This window comes from Homo sapiens, chromosome 22 (genome assembly GCF_000001405.40).
Source record: "Homo sapiens chromosome 22, GRCh38.p14 Primary Assembly".
Classification (NCBI taxonomy): domain Eukaryota; kingdom Metazoa; phylum Chordata; class Mammalia; order Primates; family Hominidae; genus Homo; species Homo sapiens.
Window position 1 is genome coordinate 46,721,799 of NC_000022.11, and position 15,832 is coordinate 46,737,630.

Here is a 15,832-nt window from a genome sequence, read left to right on the forward strand (position 1 = left end):
AGGGGAGACTTCCAGGGGCCCAGGGGATGACAGCACCGGACATGCTCCACCCTGGGAACCAGCAAGGACCCATTCCACCCGAGCCACCTGGGGCGTGTTCATCTGCTGGGCAGCTGTAATTACAGGCTTGCACATCAAAGAAAGTTCTGGGCTGGCAGCAGAGCTGTGGGAGGTGACGGGTAACTGAAGTCCAAGGCCTGAAAGAACTTGCCCAGGAGAGCATGGGATTGAAGACAGCAAAGCCAAGTTTGAGGAAGGTGGCTTCCAAAAGCTTATTCTGGAATTACTGTTAGGCATGTATGATATATCCTTACACAGAAGAATGTTATAATTTGTGGTTAGCTTCCTAGGTTGGCTATAAAACCTGCAATATAGCTAAAATACCGTATTTTTGCCGTAGCTAAATGCAAAAAAAATTGCTATAACATTTGTGGTAATTTTGCATCATTTTTAAAGTTGTGGCCCATGGAAATCAAGTTCTAGGAACCTGGGAGGGTAGTGTCTGAACTGGGCCTTTGAGCACTGTAGAAACCTTTGAAAGGCCAGTAGTGGGGCCTCCTGATTCCCTCTGAAGTGAAGCCAGCCCCAGGGGAGCAGACTTGATGGGGAGGGGGTGGGTTACAGAGGATGAAGTCTGGCTGGAGAGCAGAGGTCTCAGGAGGTGTCTGTGTGCATCCTCCTCCTGGGTATAGGATGTGGGGTCCAGAGTGACTCTCAGGGTCCCCACCCTCCGGTGTGCCCCACCTGGGCCTCCCATCTTTTTTTTTTTTTTTTTTTTGAGATGCAGTTTTGCTCCTGCTGCCCAGACTGGAGGGCAATAGCTCCATCTCGGCTCACCGCAACCTCCACCTCCCGGTTCAAGCGATTCTCCCTCCTCAGCCTCCCAAGTAGCTGAGATTACAGGTTCCCACCACCAGGTCCAGCTGATTTTTGTATTTTTAGTAGAGACAGGGTTTTGCCATGTTAGCCAGGCTGCAGGCCGTGCCGTGCCAGGGGTGCCAGCACAAGACCAGGCAGTCCACGTGCGTCCTGCCAGAAGGAGCGACACAGGTGCTGGGGCAGGGAGGTGGTGGGGACAGCCTCACTGTCAGGGTCAGGGTTCAGAGGATTCCCCGTGGGTGGAGGAAGGCGACGTAGGGGCAGGAGCTGGGGAGAGGCAGAGGCCGCTGGGAAGGAAAGGGCGAGCGGCTGCGAGAGGGTGGCCACTCTGGGTGGAGGGATAAGGATCCCACTTGGGTATGACTCTGAATAGCTACAAGTGTTCGGGACAGGGCAAGAGACTGAACAGGACCAAGGACGCCCTGGGGTGAATCCAGGCACCTTCTGCCACACTGGACCTGCAGCAAGGTGTACCTGCTCCTCTGGCAAGAGAAAAAGACAAAGATGCCAGCAGGGTCATTAGTTTACACACGTTCCTTTTACACACAGATTAATAAATGGAATTATTGTCTCTAAAAAGGGACAGAAAAGTTAATAGAGGAACAAAATTCAATATTGTCTGCACAGCTTTATTGAGGAACGTCAAGAATAAGAACACAGGGCGGACACAGTGGCTCACGCCTGTAATCCCAGCACTTTGGGAGGCCGAGGCAGGCAGAGCACTTCGGGTCAGGAGTTCGAGACCAGCCTGGCCAACATGGTGAAACCCCGTCTCTACTAAAAATACAAAAGTTAGCCAGGTGTGGTGGTGTGTGCCTGTAATCCCAGCTACTCAGGAGATTGAAGCATGAGAGTTGCTTGAACCCGGGAGGCGGAGGTTGCCGTGAGCCGAGATCACACCAGTGCACTCCAGCCTGGGCAACAAAGTGAGACTCAGTCTCAGGAAAACAAAAAAAGAAGAAGAAGAATATAGCTGACCTCTGAACAACATGGGCTTAACCTTCAAGGGTCCACTAATGTGGGGTTTTCTTCTTTTTTTTTTGTTTTTGAAATGGAGTCTTGCTCGTCACCCAGGTGTGGTGTGATCTTGGCTCGCTGCAACCTCCGCTTCCCAGGTTCAAGTGATTCTCCTGCCTCAGCCTCCTGAGTAGCTGGGATTATAGGCGCCTGCCACCGCACCCGGCTAACTTTTGTACTTTTAGTAGAGACGGGATTTCACCATGTTGGCCAGGATGGTCTTGAACTCCTGACCTCAGGTGATCTGCCCGCCTCGGCCTCCCACAGTACTGGGATTACAGGCATGAGCCACCGCGCCTGGCCAGATTTTTCAATAAAAGTGACACTAAGCTCACTTGCCTCTCTTGCCTCCCCTTCCACCTCCTCCGTCTTCTCCACCTCCACCACCGCTAAGACAGCACGACTGATCCCTCCTCTCCTCTTCCTCCTCAGCCCACTCAACATGAAGACCATGAGGATGGAGACCTTTGTAATGATCCACTTCCACTTACCAGATAGTAAACACATTTTCTCTTCCTTATGGTTTTCTTAACCACGTTTTCTTTTCTCTAGCTTATTTTATTGTAATAATACAGCATATAAATCAGGCCACATAGGAAATATGTGTTCATCGGCTATTTACATTATCGCAAGGCGTCCAGTCAACAGTAGGCTGTTAGTAGTTAAGTGCTGGGGGAGTCAAAAGTTTTCAACTGTGTGGGGCTGGGGCGCTAACCCCCATGTTGTTTGAGGGTCAATCTGCACTGGGTGCGGCTCAGGACAAGGGCTTCCTTGCTGACTCAGGAGACCTGGAGTGGTGCGGCCATGGTGGGAACACATTCCCCAGGTGGCAATGAGTGGCTGGACTTGGCGTGGCTTTGGCCTGTATCTGGCTGCAGTCTTACTGTGGGTAAGCCGCTAAGCCTGGAGCATGGTGTAAAGGGGGTGGAGCGATGAACCCCATAGGGGATTAGAAACTGGAATAAGATAAAGGGTGAAAAAGTTTCAAGCACAAAAATGTCCGATAAATGATGGCTTCCTTTCTTGCCAAAAAGGCTGGGCTCAGCAGGGCGGGGTGGCTCACACCTGTAATCCCTGCACTTTGGGAGGCTAAGGTGGGCGGATCACGAGGTCAGGAGATCGAGACCACCCTGGCTAACATGGTGAAACCCCGACTCTACTAAAAATACACAAAAAATTAGCCGGGTGTGGTGGCGGGCACCTGTAGCCCCAGCTACTCAGGAGGCTGAGGCAGGAGAATGGCATGAACCAGGGAGGCGGGGCTTGCAGTGAGCCAAGATTGCGCCACTGCACTCCAGCCTGGGCGAAAGACAGCAAAACTCCATCTCAAAAAAAAAAGAAAAAGAAGGCTGGGCTCAAGATGGAGGCTCTGCCTCCTTCCTCCTTCAGGCCATTGTCCCTGTGTTAAGCTGAGGACTCCACAGTGAGAGAACTCCACAGTGAGACGCCTCCAGCCTAGCAGCACTTACCCCTTCTCCTGCTCTCCTCACCTCGGTGTGTCATCGGCATTACGCCCTAGTCTTCGATACTCTCATTTCTAATTAGGAGATAAAGAACCGGGCCAAGAATCTGAGCAAACGGAGAGCAGCTCCCTGCGGGGGCTCAGGAAACACTTGCCAGCGTCCACCGGTTGGAGAGCTGGCGCCTGCTCATCTGAGGGCAGGTCATGTGGACGGCAGTGGGACCACCGAGGGCTGGCACACAGAAGAATGCGGACGGTCCTCTAGAAGCAGAAGGAACTGCCCTCTGAGGGTTAGTCTCAAATTGCCGGCACCAAGCAGCATCCCCGCACAGCACGTGGTGTGTGGACATGCCACAGCATCCGCGGGAGAAAACACACCTGACCCAGGTGGACAGATGCTGTGGGAACATCTTGCAAAGGGCGGAAGGTGGGAATTGGGGGCACTTTCATATTCTTTTGCTGACAGAGATAAATTCTCGTGACAGAATTCTCGTGAGACACCACAGTGACTCGTATTGACATGCAGTGAGCTCTTCAATAGAGGTAATGATCAAATGGCCATCACATTCCAGAAAAATCAAATGCCATGTCAGCGAGTGAGGCTGGCCTCCTGGTTCTCGTGCGGCTCACGCGTTTGCTGACTCCCTCTCTGCAGACCACTGCAGCATTTGCCACAGTCTGGGTAATGCCTGCTAGGGGCAGCTGAGAGCACGCTGACTTCCAGCTGCTTCTTTTTCCATTCTGTTCTCTGTGCTTTTTAGTGCTTGTTGTGATCCACTAGAATTAAATTTATTTCATGCTTGTGACTTACAGATGAAAACAGTGCCTGCTGTCAATCAGCTTTGATACTAGAAGTTCCCGGATTAAACTGAGCCACGCGCAGTGGCCTCCCATCCAGCAGGAGGGCCCACGGGTTTCCCGTGTGTCACGGGGCACTGAGTGTCTGCCAGTGACATGGGTGCACGTGTGTGGGCACGCTCATGGCAGGGCAGGGTCAAGGTGGCAGAACATGCCGCTCCAGACCTCACGCAGCCGTCGGGAGGCCCCAGATGTCTTTCGCCTCTTGGGCATATGCAACGAGAACAAGAGCGAGTTCCCAGCTAAGAGCACAGGGGAGCACAGCGGTCCCTGGGACTCTCCCTAATGCAAGCTGCCACGTGAGGACCGGCAGAGGGAACAGGGTGAGAGAGCAGGCCGCTGCCCACTGCGCCCACTGGAGCAGTGCCAAGTACAGTGTGGAAGTCTGTGGATCACACCCACACACACTGCAGGGGATGCTGAGGCCCAGAAGTGGCACGGGCCACACTGACCTCCACATGCCCGGCCCGCTTAGAGTCCAAGCAGTAAGGGTCACCCCAGAGGAAGAACACCCAAGAGATCCGAGTGGCTGGGAGGCCTGATTCCCCCTGCAATGACATGCAATGCAAACGCATTTCCCTGGCAACCCGCCGCTCAGTAAACATGAGCTGTGTGAACATCTGATCTTCATTAAAAATTAAAGGTGAGTGCTTGCCTATGCCAAGGAAGACCAAAAACCAGCCCTGCCCACCACTGCCAGGGAGAGTCCAGAAATCTCACGTGCAGGAAACTCAGAGATGGTCAAACTGTCCCCCGCCCCTCCCCGCCCACCACGTCCACCCTGACACAGCCCTTGATGGGTCTGATACACAGATGGAAGGTGGGGGAAGCCAGAACCCACGTGACGCCCACAGGTCAGCCCTGAGCTGCGACTTATCCAGACGCGACTGCGTGTCCCCAGCCCTTGCCTCCGCTGCGGCTGCTGCTGTCATACAGGGATGCGCCCAAGTTTCGTCTTTTATGGGAAACCTTCTGATTGTAAAACATTAGCTACAATTTTAAAAGGAAGAGAAAAACTCACCATGCAAATCTAACAAAGAAAAAAATCTGTGGCCAAATTTAGCCCAAAGACCTCTGCTCTGCAACCCAGTGAGGCTGAGCCGTGGTTTTTCTGACCGCACGGATGATGAAGAAAATCTCACAGCAAGCCCCCAGAGTTCATGATGCTGGGATAAGGTACCTGCCAATCATAACTTACTGCTATTTCATGCCATAAAATGTGACCTTTGACCCTTGTCAGCACACCATTAGTAGCCACCAATGTCTCCTCTTCTTTTTTTTTTTGAGACAGGTCTCACTGTGTCACCCAGGCTGGAGTACAGGGGTGCAATCTCAGCTCACTGCAGCCTCGACCTCCCAGGCTCATGCAATCCTCCCACCTCAGCTTCCCAAGTAGTTGGGACCACAGGTGTGTGCCACCATGCCCAGCTGTTTCTTTTTTTTTTTTTTTTTGAGAGATGGGGTCTCTCTGTGTTGCCCTCAGAGACCTGGTTGGTCTCTCTAACTCCTGGGCTCAAGCGATCCATCCACTCAGCCTCCCAAAGTGTTGGGATTACAGGCGTGAGCCACTGTGCCCAGTCTTCTTAGTTCTAGGGACACATCTCAAGTAAACAGTGTCCATTCCCTGTGGAACCCACCCCAGAAATCCTTCCTCGTCCTAACGTCCCGATACCAGCCTAAGGGTGCTGTGGTCCGCGTGCCCCACTCTCAGGCAGGGGCCTGGTCAGCATCCCACAGGACCACCCGGTGACCACCCAAGGTCCATGGGCTTCTGAACATCCTGCACATGCCGCCCCAACACTCCCCTGGCCCAGCCACCCCCCCCGGCCCTGCCACCCCCGCGGCTCCTTAGCATGGATGCTCCCTTAGCATGCACAGGAGGCCTGGACCTGAGGATGCCAAATCATTCCTCTCAGGAAACAGGGCTGTGGCATGTGGACGGGCATGTCACCTGCACAGCCCACGTGGCAGCCAACACACAGGACTTTGCTTTTCCTGTTAAGCCAGGAGGTTCTGGAGGGCAGGGTGGAATTACACACCTGCGCAGCCCCTGTGTGTGGGTTCAGGAAATGAATCAGACTAATCCTAGACCTGCTTAGACGACACCCGCAGAACTGAAGTCCATACCAGCTGGCATCTCAACACAGAACACCCGCCGTCCCCACTCCATGCTGTCAGGTCGCGGGAAACCTGCATCAGCCTCCCGTCCTAGGGATGAGACGGGGTGTCCAAGGGCTCCAGGGACCGTACGGTGCCTCAGGGAACTTTGTCATGGGAACTGGACTGATTTTGCTCCAGGAACCCCGCTCTTCCCCCCGTGCACCCTGCTATGAAAGGCCACGGGGGCTACTTAAACAAATCCCAGAGTCCCTGCCTTTGAAGAGGGAGCTCACCCCAGATTCTGGAGCAGCCTCGCTCTGAGTCCCCACTCCCCAACCTGTGAGCTCAGCTCTAAGTCCCACATCTCCACCTCTGAGAAGATAACAAGGGGCGTCTCAGAGGGCTATGAGGATCCCATTGGGTGTGAAGCCCGCAGCACTGCAGGGCACAGTACACGCTGGCCTAAATGGAAAGCAGCATTCAGACATCTAGTTCTGGCCAGAATGAACCAAGCCCGACCGCCTGTCTCTCCCACCCGCTATGACTGATAGCTCTGGACAAGATACAAGAAACAGGCAGTGAACCGGGGACACCAGAGATCCACAGCAGCAGGCCCGCTGGCTGGAGAGGCCAGCGTGCAGAGTCAGCAGCTGGGAGCTGGGTTTATCTCCAGCTCTGGCCTCGGGGACGTCTGAGCTATGGGGCAGCAGGGTGGGTGCAGGCCCCTGTCCCAGAGAAGCCAGGGTGTGCTGAGGGCAGAGGGGTGCTCAGAGGAGAGGGGGCTGGAGCAGGAATACTTGGCTCTGAGAATGACCAGATGAGTCCAGCCTCACTCCTGAGGGGCCAAAACAGGGCAGCCAGGGCCTCGGAGGCTGGACAGCCAGGGCCCACCTCCCTCGCCACATGAGACAGACCTGCCATCTGTACCCAGCCAGGCTGAGCACCTGCTTTTGAAAAAGAAAAATTGGCTGGGTCTGGTGTCTCATGCCTGTAATTCCAGCACTTTGGGAGGCTGAAGCGGGAGGACTGCTTGAGGCCAGAAGATTGAGACCAACCTGGACAACATAGTGAGGCCCTGTCTCTACAAAATAAATTTTAAAAATTAGGGAGAATGATGGTACATGCCTGTAGTTCCAGCTACTTGAGAGGCTGAGGTAGGAGGACGGCTTGTGCTCAAGAGGCTGCAGTGAGCCAAAACTGAGCCACTGCACTCCAGCCTGGGAAACAGTGAGACTGTAAATAAATAAATTAATTAATTTAATTAAATAGAAAAATTGTCCAAATGACTTTATTTTTTATTAATTTTTTTTAAGAGACAGGGTCTTGCTCTGTCACTCAGGATGGAGTACAGTGGTACAATCATGGAACACCGTAACCTCGAATTCCTGGTGTCAAATGCTCCTCCTGCCCCAGCCTCCTGAGTAGCTGGGACTACAGGCATGCACAACACCCAGCCTCCAAAAAACATTAACAGGACTTGGCCTTACAAAATAATGTACCAAATATCCAGGAAACAACCCACAATAAATCAGCACACCAAGAACCAGGAAATGTTAACGTTCTCAAGGGAATAATCAAAAGACGTCAAACCTGAGATGACCCAGATGTTGATGTTATCAGACAAAGACTTCAAAGTAGTCTTTGGCCAGGCGCGGTGGCTCATGCCTGTAATCCCAGCATTTTGGGAGGCCGAGGCAGGTGAATCACGAGGGCAGGAGATCGAGACCATCCTGGCTAACACGGTGAAACCCTGTCCCTACTAAAAATACAAAAAATTAGCCAGGCGTGGTGGCAGGCGCCTGTAGTCCCAGCTACTCAGGAGGCTGAGGCAGGAGAATGGCGTGAACCTGGGAGGCGGAGCTTGCAGTGAGCCAAGATCGCACCACTGCACTCCAGCCTGGGTGACAGATCGAGACTCCATCTCAAAACAAACAAACAAACAAACAAACAAAAAACAAAGCAGCTGTTATAACCATGCTCACTGAGACACAGTTGAACATACTTGAAGTTTTCAGGAAAGAGGCTGGGAGTGGTGGCTCACGCCTGTAATCCTAGCACTTTGGGAGGCCAAGGCGGGCAGATTGCCTGAGCTCAGGAGTTCAAGACCAGCCTGGGTAACATGGCAAATCCCTGTCTCTACTAAAAAAAAAAAAAAAAATAGCCAGGCATGGTGGCAGGCACCTGTAATCCCAGCTACTCAGAAGGCTGAGGCACGAGAACTGCTTGAACCCAGGAGGTGGAGTTTGCAGTGAGTCGAGATCACACCATTACACTCCAGTCTGGGTAACAGAGTGACAGTCTATCTCAAAAAAAAAAGAAGTTTTCAGGAAAGAAATGGAAACTATTGGAACCAAAAGGAAAAATTTAAAACTGGAAAGTACAGTATCTGAAATTTAAAAATCACCAGATAGGCTTAGCAGCAGAATGAATTAGATAGAGGAATAGTGAAGTTGAAAATAGGTCAGCAGAAAGAATCTATTCTAAAGAGCAGAGAGAAAGAAATTGTTTTAATGCACAAGCACCTTCTGCTTCTGGGAGGATGGATTAGCTGTGCTTTTCCTACTCCTCCTATTAAGTGAAGCCCTGGACGTCACACATGAAACAAATATAAGAAGACTCTGACAGGCAGAGAAAAGGCAGCTGTTCAGGGCCTGGGATCTGAGAAAGACACACGGCATCCCCCTGGGGGTTTCCTTTGCCTCGTCTATCTTGGATTTGGAACTGGAGCAGCCTGAAACCTGGAAATGCCAACAGGTACAAACGCAGAGCCCCAGTGAAAGCCAACTCAGTCTAGCCAGGGAAGGGGCAGCTTTGCAAGACAGAAAACTTTGAGACAATAACAACCTACCCCAGAAAAAAACGGGCCCAGCCCTCCAACCAAGCCCAAGTGGCCAACTAGCAGCTTAGACTTCCACCCTTGAGAGGCTGTGAGCAGGCACCCCACAACCTCTGCCAGGGCTGTACAGGGGAGGCCACGCAGGAAGCTGGAACCCCCATCAGCGCCAGCTGGTAAAAAGCCTCATGCCCACTAGGCATTGGTGGAGACAAAGGGGCAGCCCAGCCCGGGCCCCCACCCTGCACTGGCGAGGTGCCCCTTCCTCCTTGCTGGAGTGGAGTAAGAGGAGGCCTGGTGGGGAGACAGGGCTTTCACTGCCACTGAGCTGCAAGGTGCCCACACTCCACCCACGTGCTGTTAGGGGAGTGCATGTGGGGAGCGGCAAGGAAGCACCTCCACCCCCCGCCAAGGTGGCCTTAGCAGAGGCCTGGCGGGAGCTGTACCCCCCACCCACCCGGCAATGACAAGCAGCCCCTGACTCCGCTGCCAACAAGGCTGAGGGGAACCTGGGCTTCCACCCCCACCTGGCAGTACCAGCGCCGTTCCCTGCTGGAGCAGTGCCAGAGAAACCAGCTAAACAGAAGGTGTAAACGCTGCCCAGTCTTGGAACATACTGCAAAATAACCAGTGCTAGGTGAGTCTGGGAAGGAGGGCTGGGCCTTGGTGAGGCTGAGGATAGAGGAAAACATGTCAGGCAGGGAGGGCAGAGGGCACCTGGGGAGGCACAGGGCATGCGGGAGATAATGACGGCTGGGCTGGTGAGCACGTGTGCCCCGGGAGCAGGTGGGGGCAGGGCCAGATCGGGGGAGGTCAGGAATGCAAGCCAGGCCACAGGCACGCATGGGCGAGCAGTGCCTGGAAGAACTTTGTAGCAGGGCAGGGTGTCTAAACATCAATGGGGCACACAGGCTGGCTGTCAGGACGGGCCAACGGCACTGGAGAAGGGATTAGTGACCCTCAGGGTGCTCTCTAAACTTCCAATCCCCATCATCCAGGGTTCAGCCGCCGGGGTGCTCCCTAAAGAAATTCAAAAGGCAGCAGGAGGGGTCGGGAGGGGAAGACCGGGGCCAGCTGGAGGCAGAAGTCATCTGACCCAGTCTGTGGCAAAAAGGGGACCAAGGTCAGCGAGAAAGGAGAGAAGAGGTATGGGATCCGGACAGCCGAATCGAGAACCCAGCAGACGTGTGGGATCCGGACAGCCGAATCGAGAACCCAGCAGGCGGTGAGGGTGGGCCACTGGCCTAGGAGAGAGGCCGAGTAGCTGGAGCTTGTATGCGGGTGACAGGCTGGCTGTCTCCAGGACAGAGGAGAACTCGTGCCTGGAAGTCCACGCTGGGCTAATCGCTGAAGCCATTAAGTTGAGATGCATCCTGGACCAGCTACAGGTTCCTGAGATAACCCTCAAAAGGCAGGACTCAGCTGCATTTCTCATAGAAAACGCTGTTATGCAAAAATCTAGACTGTTAGAGAAGAAAAATAAATTGGGTGGGGGGGACGGGAAGTAAAACACATTAGGAGTTTCTTAAACACACAGAAAGTGTATCTTCTCGAGTATGAAAGTTTCTTAAATACTGGTGGTTTAATTTCTCTGGGATAGATAATCAAAAATGGAATTGTTGGGTCAAAGGATATCACTTTTTTTTTTTTTTTTTACAGTTTGAAAACACTGCCAGATTACTTTCCAAAAACACCCTAGCAGTTCCCACTTCCCATTCACCGGGTCTGCCAGCCCAGAAGCGTCCTGAAACTTCCCCAGCACAGAGCTGTGCTTTCGCCCTTCCCCATCCCTTGCTGGTTGAGAGCAGCATCTCATCATTGCCTTGGGTCAGTATCTACTCAGACGCTCAGCATCCACTTCCGAATGTTTTCTTCCGTGAATCGCCTACTTATATCCATTGCCATTTGTCTAATGGATTGTCTGCCTTTTTTCCTATCAATTTTTATGTAAGTTTAAAATGTTCAAAAAATGTTAACCTGGCCAGGCGCGGTGGCTCACGCCTGTAATCCCAGCACTTAAGGAGGCCAAAGAGGGAGGATCACGAGGTCAGGAGATTGAGACCATCCTGGCTAACACAGTGAAACCCCATCTCTTCTAAAAATACAAAAAATTAGCCGGGTGCAATGGTGGGTGCCTGTAGTCCCAGCTACTCGGGAGGCTGAGGCAGGTGAATGGTGTGAACCCGGGAGGCGGAGCTTGCAGTGAGCTGAGATCACGCCACTGCACTCCAGCCCTGGGCGACAGAGTGGGACTCTGTCTCAAAAAAAAAAAAAAAAAAAAAATTAACCCTTTCTCTATCCTATTTGTTGCAAATATCACCCCCATCATTTTTTATTTTTATTTTATTATTATTATTATTATTTGAGATGGAGTCTCGCCGTGTTGCCCAGGCTGGAGTGCAGTGGTGCAATCACAGCTCACTGCAACCTCCGCCTCCCAGGTTCAAGAGATTCTCGTGCCTCAGCCTCCTGAGAGGCTGGGATTATAGGCGCACGCCAACATGCCTGGCTAATTTTTGTATTTTTAGTAGAGACAGGGTTTCACCATGTTGGGCAGGCTGGTCACGACCTCCTGACATCAAGTGATCCACCCGCCTCGGCCTCCCAAAGTGCTGGGATTACAGGTGTGAGCCACCACGCCCGGCCCTTATCTTTTTTTTTAAATTTATGATATCTTACAAAAGAAATTTTAAAATTATTTCGTCAAATAATCTAGCTTTTTCTTTATTCTTTCTGGATTCCATCTTGGTTAGGAGAGCCTTTTCCCATTCCAATATTATAAACTGTCCTCTATTTTCTTGTAAGAATTTACAGCCAGGTGCAGTGGCTAACGCCTGTAATCCCAACACTTTGGGAGGCCGAGGCAGGCAGATCATCTGAGGTCAGGAGTTCGAGACTAGCCTGGCCAACATGGTGAAACCCTGTCTCTACTAAAAATACAAAAATTAGCTGGTGGCAGGTGCCCATAATCCCAGCTACTCAGGAGGCTAAGGCAGGAGAATCACTTGAACCCGGGAGGTGGAGGTTGCAGTGAGCCGAGACCTTGCCACTTCACTCCAGCCTGGGAAACAGAGGAAGACTCCAAAAATATAATAAAATATGTTATATATACATACATACATATATATATATATATATATACATTTTCCTATAATCCAGCTTTCTACTCTTAAATATGCACCCAAGAGGAGCAAAAGCATAGCCCCTAAAGGGTCAGGGTGTCTTTATCCACATAGTCAAGGTGAATGGACTGCAAACTGTCCAGAAGCCCATCAGCAGGTGAACGGATACACTAGTGCACCCACACAATGCAATATGACTTAGTAACCAGAAAGAAGGAACTGCTGACATGATGAATCTTAAAAAAAACAAAATGAGATAAAGCAGCCGGGCACAAAGACGTGCACATGGCATGATTCCATTTACATGAGATAAAGCAGCCGGGCACAAAGACGTGCACATGGCATGATTCCATTTACATGAGATAAAGCAGCCGGGCACAAAGACGTGCACATGGCATGATTCCATTTACATGAAACTCTATTAGCATCGTGCCTGTCCCTGGTGAGAAAACAGCCCAGGGCCCAGGAGAAGGTGCTGGGCTGCTGCGATCCGGGTGATGTTTACACAGGTGCACACAATTATCAAAATTTAACCAACTATGTGCCTTAAAATGTCTGAGTTTTATTGCATGCAATTTAGACCTTGATAAAATCGATTTTTAAAAATCATGTCTTAGGAGAGGAATTAGTAGCGTGGAAAACACTCTGCAGTATGTTTTCTCAGCTTTTCTTTCATGCATATTTACATATACACAAATACCAAATATTAATCACGTCTAAGTCGAAGAGTGACTTTTTGTGTATGCTTTTCTGTGTTTTCTCGATATTATTAAATCAACATGACTTACTTTTGTAAGCAGGAAAAACATTTTTTTAAAGTATCTGTGGCATGCCTATGTTTTGCCAGGCACTTTGCAGGGTGTGCTGAGGACACGCTTTATAAACACAGTACTGACCTGCCCAACGAGTTCACCACCAGCCTGGGACATCCCAAGTGGGGTTGGTGGAAGGAAGGGGAGGATCCTCCCACAAAGGTAGAGCCTGGGCAGTAGTCCCCTCACCCCCCAACACACACACACACACACACACACTCTTCCCATTCCCAACTCTAAAGGAATAAATGCAGGGTTTGTCTAAGTGTGTTTTGCGACAGTCAGGGGAAATAACCCAGATATCAACTCAGTGTTTCCAGTTCAACGAGCATGACCCACTTCAAGTTCCTGTTTTCGTCCTGCCCTACTTCCCACCAGGCTGGCGGCCCAGGGCACTTGCTGTCGCGGCTTCCTCAGGTGCAGACCTCACCCAGGCCCAGGAAGCTGCAGCGATCCAAATTGCTAGTCCTTGTCTGTGCTCTTGTACAGTCAGTCACTGTCCCAGCATGATGACCCACTGACGAAAGTGCACGTGCCTGGGTTCAAAGCCAGCTCCCTCTGTACATCACTGCCTCTGGGCCCAGTCAATTCCCACTCCTACTGTCCACATCTGAAATAGGGGTGATGCTACGGAGAAAACAAAGGAGTCGGAATAACTAAGCGGCCACCCCAGCAGGGCACACACAGTGGCCTTGGCTTTGTCTTTAGCCCATTGGTCACCTGGAGCTCCAGGGCTGCTCCTGCCTCATCTCACAGGTCCTCCTAGGGCCAGTTTTTGCACAATTCTCCACCTCTCATCATTCCTCAACCTAATCAATCCCAGTGTGCCCAGATACACCTGGGGGAATGGGGAGGGCTGGGCAATGCCACCTTGCTGACCAAATTAAATGTCCTGTGAGCTGGTTCACATTCTTCTGCCCTACTATGGCCCTACTGACCTCAAGCATAGAAGAATCGAACCTGGGCCTGATTCCTTTTGGGGACTGTAAAGCTATGAGAAAAAAACTAGAGACAGTGTGGCTGTATTCCTGAACTCATTCACAACTTAGCGTTTCCCAACTTGTTGATGTTTTCCCATTGCATGGGAGAGCACTCCTGGGTGGAGAGGGCAGGCTGCTTCCTGGAGGAAGCCCACCAGCCAGGGCCACCAGCCAGGGCCCCACCATCCATGGCCCCACAAACCAGGGCCCTCCCTCTCCAAGAGGGACCAAGCTCCTGGCAGGCCAGTCAGGCAGCTCAGGATGAACCCGCACAAAAGCACCTTGGCTTAGCAAGAGTGAAGCAATTAGCATGCCAAGAGGCAAACCCCAGCAGGCTGGACAAAAGCAGACGCCACACCACACCAAGCCCTGACCTGGGGGACCAGAAACCATAATGGGAGCTGGCTGGGGACGCCAAGGCAGAAAGCAGTGATGACTGACCTCCCACACAGATGCCCTGTAAGGGTCTGGCGTCTCTGCGGCGGCTGGAGCCTGAGGGAAGCCTTACAGCCCAGTGGCTACAAGCACAGCAGCTAATTGGGCCAGTCACTTCCAGCCCCTGCAGATCGGCCCCTGCATCCCTAGGACGGGAGCAGCTGCCTCTCAGGAACCCATCCGGTTTGAAGCCCAGTGGCCCGCACTTAGGAAGTGCTTGGGGGAGGCAGTCATCTTCCTGAAGCCTAGGGATTTACAACAAAGTACAAACCCTTCGGGCCCAGGTCAGGCACCTGTTCTCCTTGTGTGTGGGCCCTGGTGGGTGATATTTGGGGTGTGACATTTCTACCAAAGGGGACATGAGAAATACCTTAGGAAAGTCAAGTCTCAGATGCCCAGCCACAGATAGGTGACCCCAGGGCTGGAAACCAAGTGTTGGTCATGGGTCTGAGACCACCCCTCGACCTTGGCCCCACCTAACGTTCAACTCTGTCCCCACCAGAACCCAACCCACAGATCCTCACCACTCAGCACCAGAAAGCGCCCAGAAGAACTCCTGACCTCGACTGCCCACAGGGTCTAAAGGTGTCATCCCAGGCTCCGAATATCCACCAGAGAATCTTGGCCTCCGCCACACCCACCCCATTCCAGCTCCGCACATCCAGCATGAATCCTGGCCTCTGCCACACCCACCCCAATAATTAAAAAGAAAAAAGGCTGGGTGCGGTTGCTCACACCTGTAATCCCAGCACTTTGAGAGGCTGAGGTGGGCAGATCACCTGAGGTCAGGAATTCAAGACCAGCCTGGCCAACATGGTGAAACCCTGTCTCTACTAAAATACAAAAATTAGCCGGGCGTAGTAGCGGGCTCCTGTAATCCCAGCTACTCCGAGGCTGAGGCAGGGAGAATTGCTTGAACCCAGGAGGCGGAGGTGCAGTGAGCCAAGATCGTGGCATTGAACTCCAGCCTGGGCAACAGAGCAACACTCCGACTCAAAAAAAAAAAAAAACAAAAAACAAACAAAAAACAACAAAAAACAAAAACAAACCCTCTGTCCTCCTGCAGGGCTCTCTCCAGGGTGGGCTATGCGTCCTCCATGTTTACCAAAGTCACTCTTCTCCTCATCCGGAGGGCCTCTGCGGGGCAAGTAGCCAACCCGTGGCACGGAAACCAATTCCCCCATCCCGAGCAGGGAGCACACCCCACAGAAAGTCAGGGGCCCCTTCTTTAACTTCTTAACAGGAAGTCCTCACCCTGCAAGGGCGCCTCTCAGGTTTCGGATCCCTGCTAAAGAAAAGCATCTGTTCTTGGAGTAAACTGCAATGCGCGCGGT

At 52.0% G+C, this 15,832-nt stretch overlaps 1 protein-coding gene and 1 long non-coding RNA gene across 2 annotated transcripts in view, besides 4 other annotated features; both read right to left on the bottom strand.

Annotated features, from left to right (window-relative positions):
• Positions 1 to 15,832, bottom strand: part of CERK (ceramide kinase) — a 53,843-nt gene that overhangs the window by 37,389 nt on the left and 622 nt on the right. The gene's annotated exons all lie outside the window — the stretch shown is intronic.
• Positions 1,041 to 1,558: an enhancer, noted in NCBI's record as "H3K4me1 hESC enhancer chr22:47118736-47119253 (GRCh37/hg19 assembly coordinates)". NCBI's record gives its function as "activates a minimal SCP1, AML or CMV promoter by ChIP-STARR-seq in naive H9 embryonic stem cells {active_cell/tissue: H9 hESC(naive)}" and the evidence as "EXISTENCE:reporter gene assay evidence [ECO:0000049][PMID:30033119]".
• Positions 4,109 to 4,609: an enhancer, noted in NCBI's record as "H3K4me1 hESC enhancer chr22:47121804-47122304 (GRCh37/hg19 assembly coordinates)". NCBI's record gives its function as "activates a minimal SCP1, AML or CMV promoter by ChIP-STARR-seq in primed H9 embryonic stem cells {active_cell/tissue: H9 hESC(primed)}" and the evidence as "EXISTENCE:reporter gene assay evidence [ECO:0000049][PMID:30033119]".
• Positions 12,814 to 14,594, bottom strand: LOC105373077 (uncharacterized). The gene is made up of 2 exons (XR_001755593.2): positions 14,505 to 14,594; positions 12,814 to 13,710 (listed from the first exon to the last, which is right to left on the bottom strand). It is a non-coding gene; the product is annotated as an uncharacterized LOC105373077 (long non-coding RNA).
• Positions 14,266 to 14,839: an enhancer, noted in NCBI's record as "H3K4me1 hESC enhancer chr22:47131961-47132534 (GRCh37/hg19 assembly coordinates)". NCBI's record gives its function as "activates a minimal SCP1, AML or CMV promoter by ChIP-STARR-seq in naive and primed H9 embryonic stem cells {active_cell/tissue: H9 hESC(naive and primed)}" and the evidence as "EXISTENCE:reporter gene assay evidence [ECO:0000049][PMID:30033119]".
• Positions 15,527 to 15,696: an enhancer, noted in NCBI's record as "active region_19248". NCBI's record gives its function as "activates an Ori minimal core promoter by ATAC-STARR-seq in GM12878 lymphoblastoid cells {active_cell/tissue: GM12878}" and the evidence as "EXISTENCE:reporter gene assay evidence [ECO:0000049][PMID:35858748]".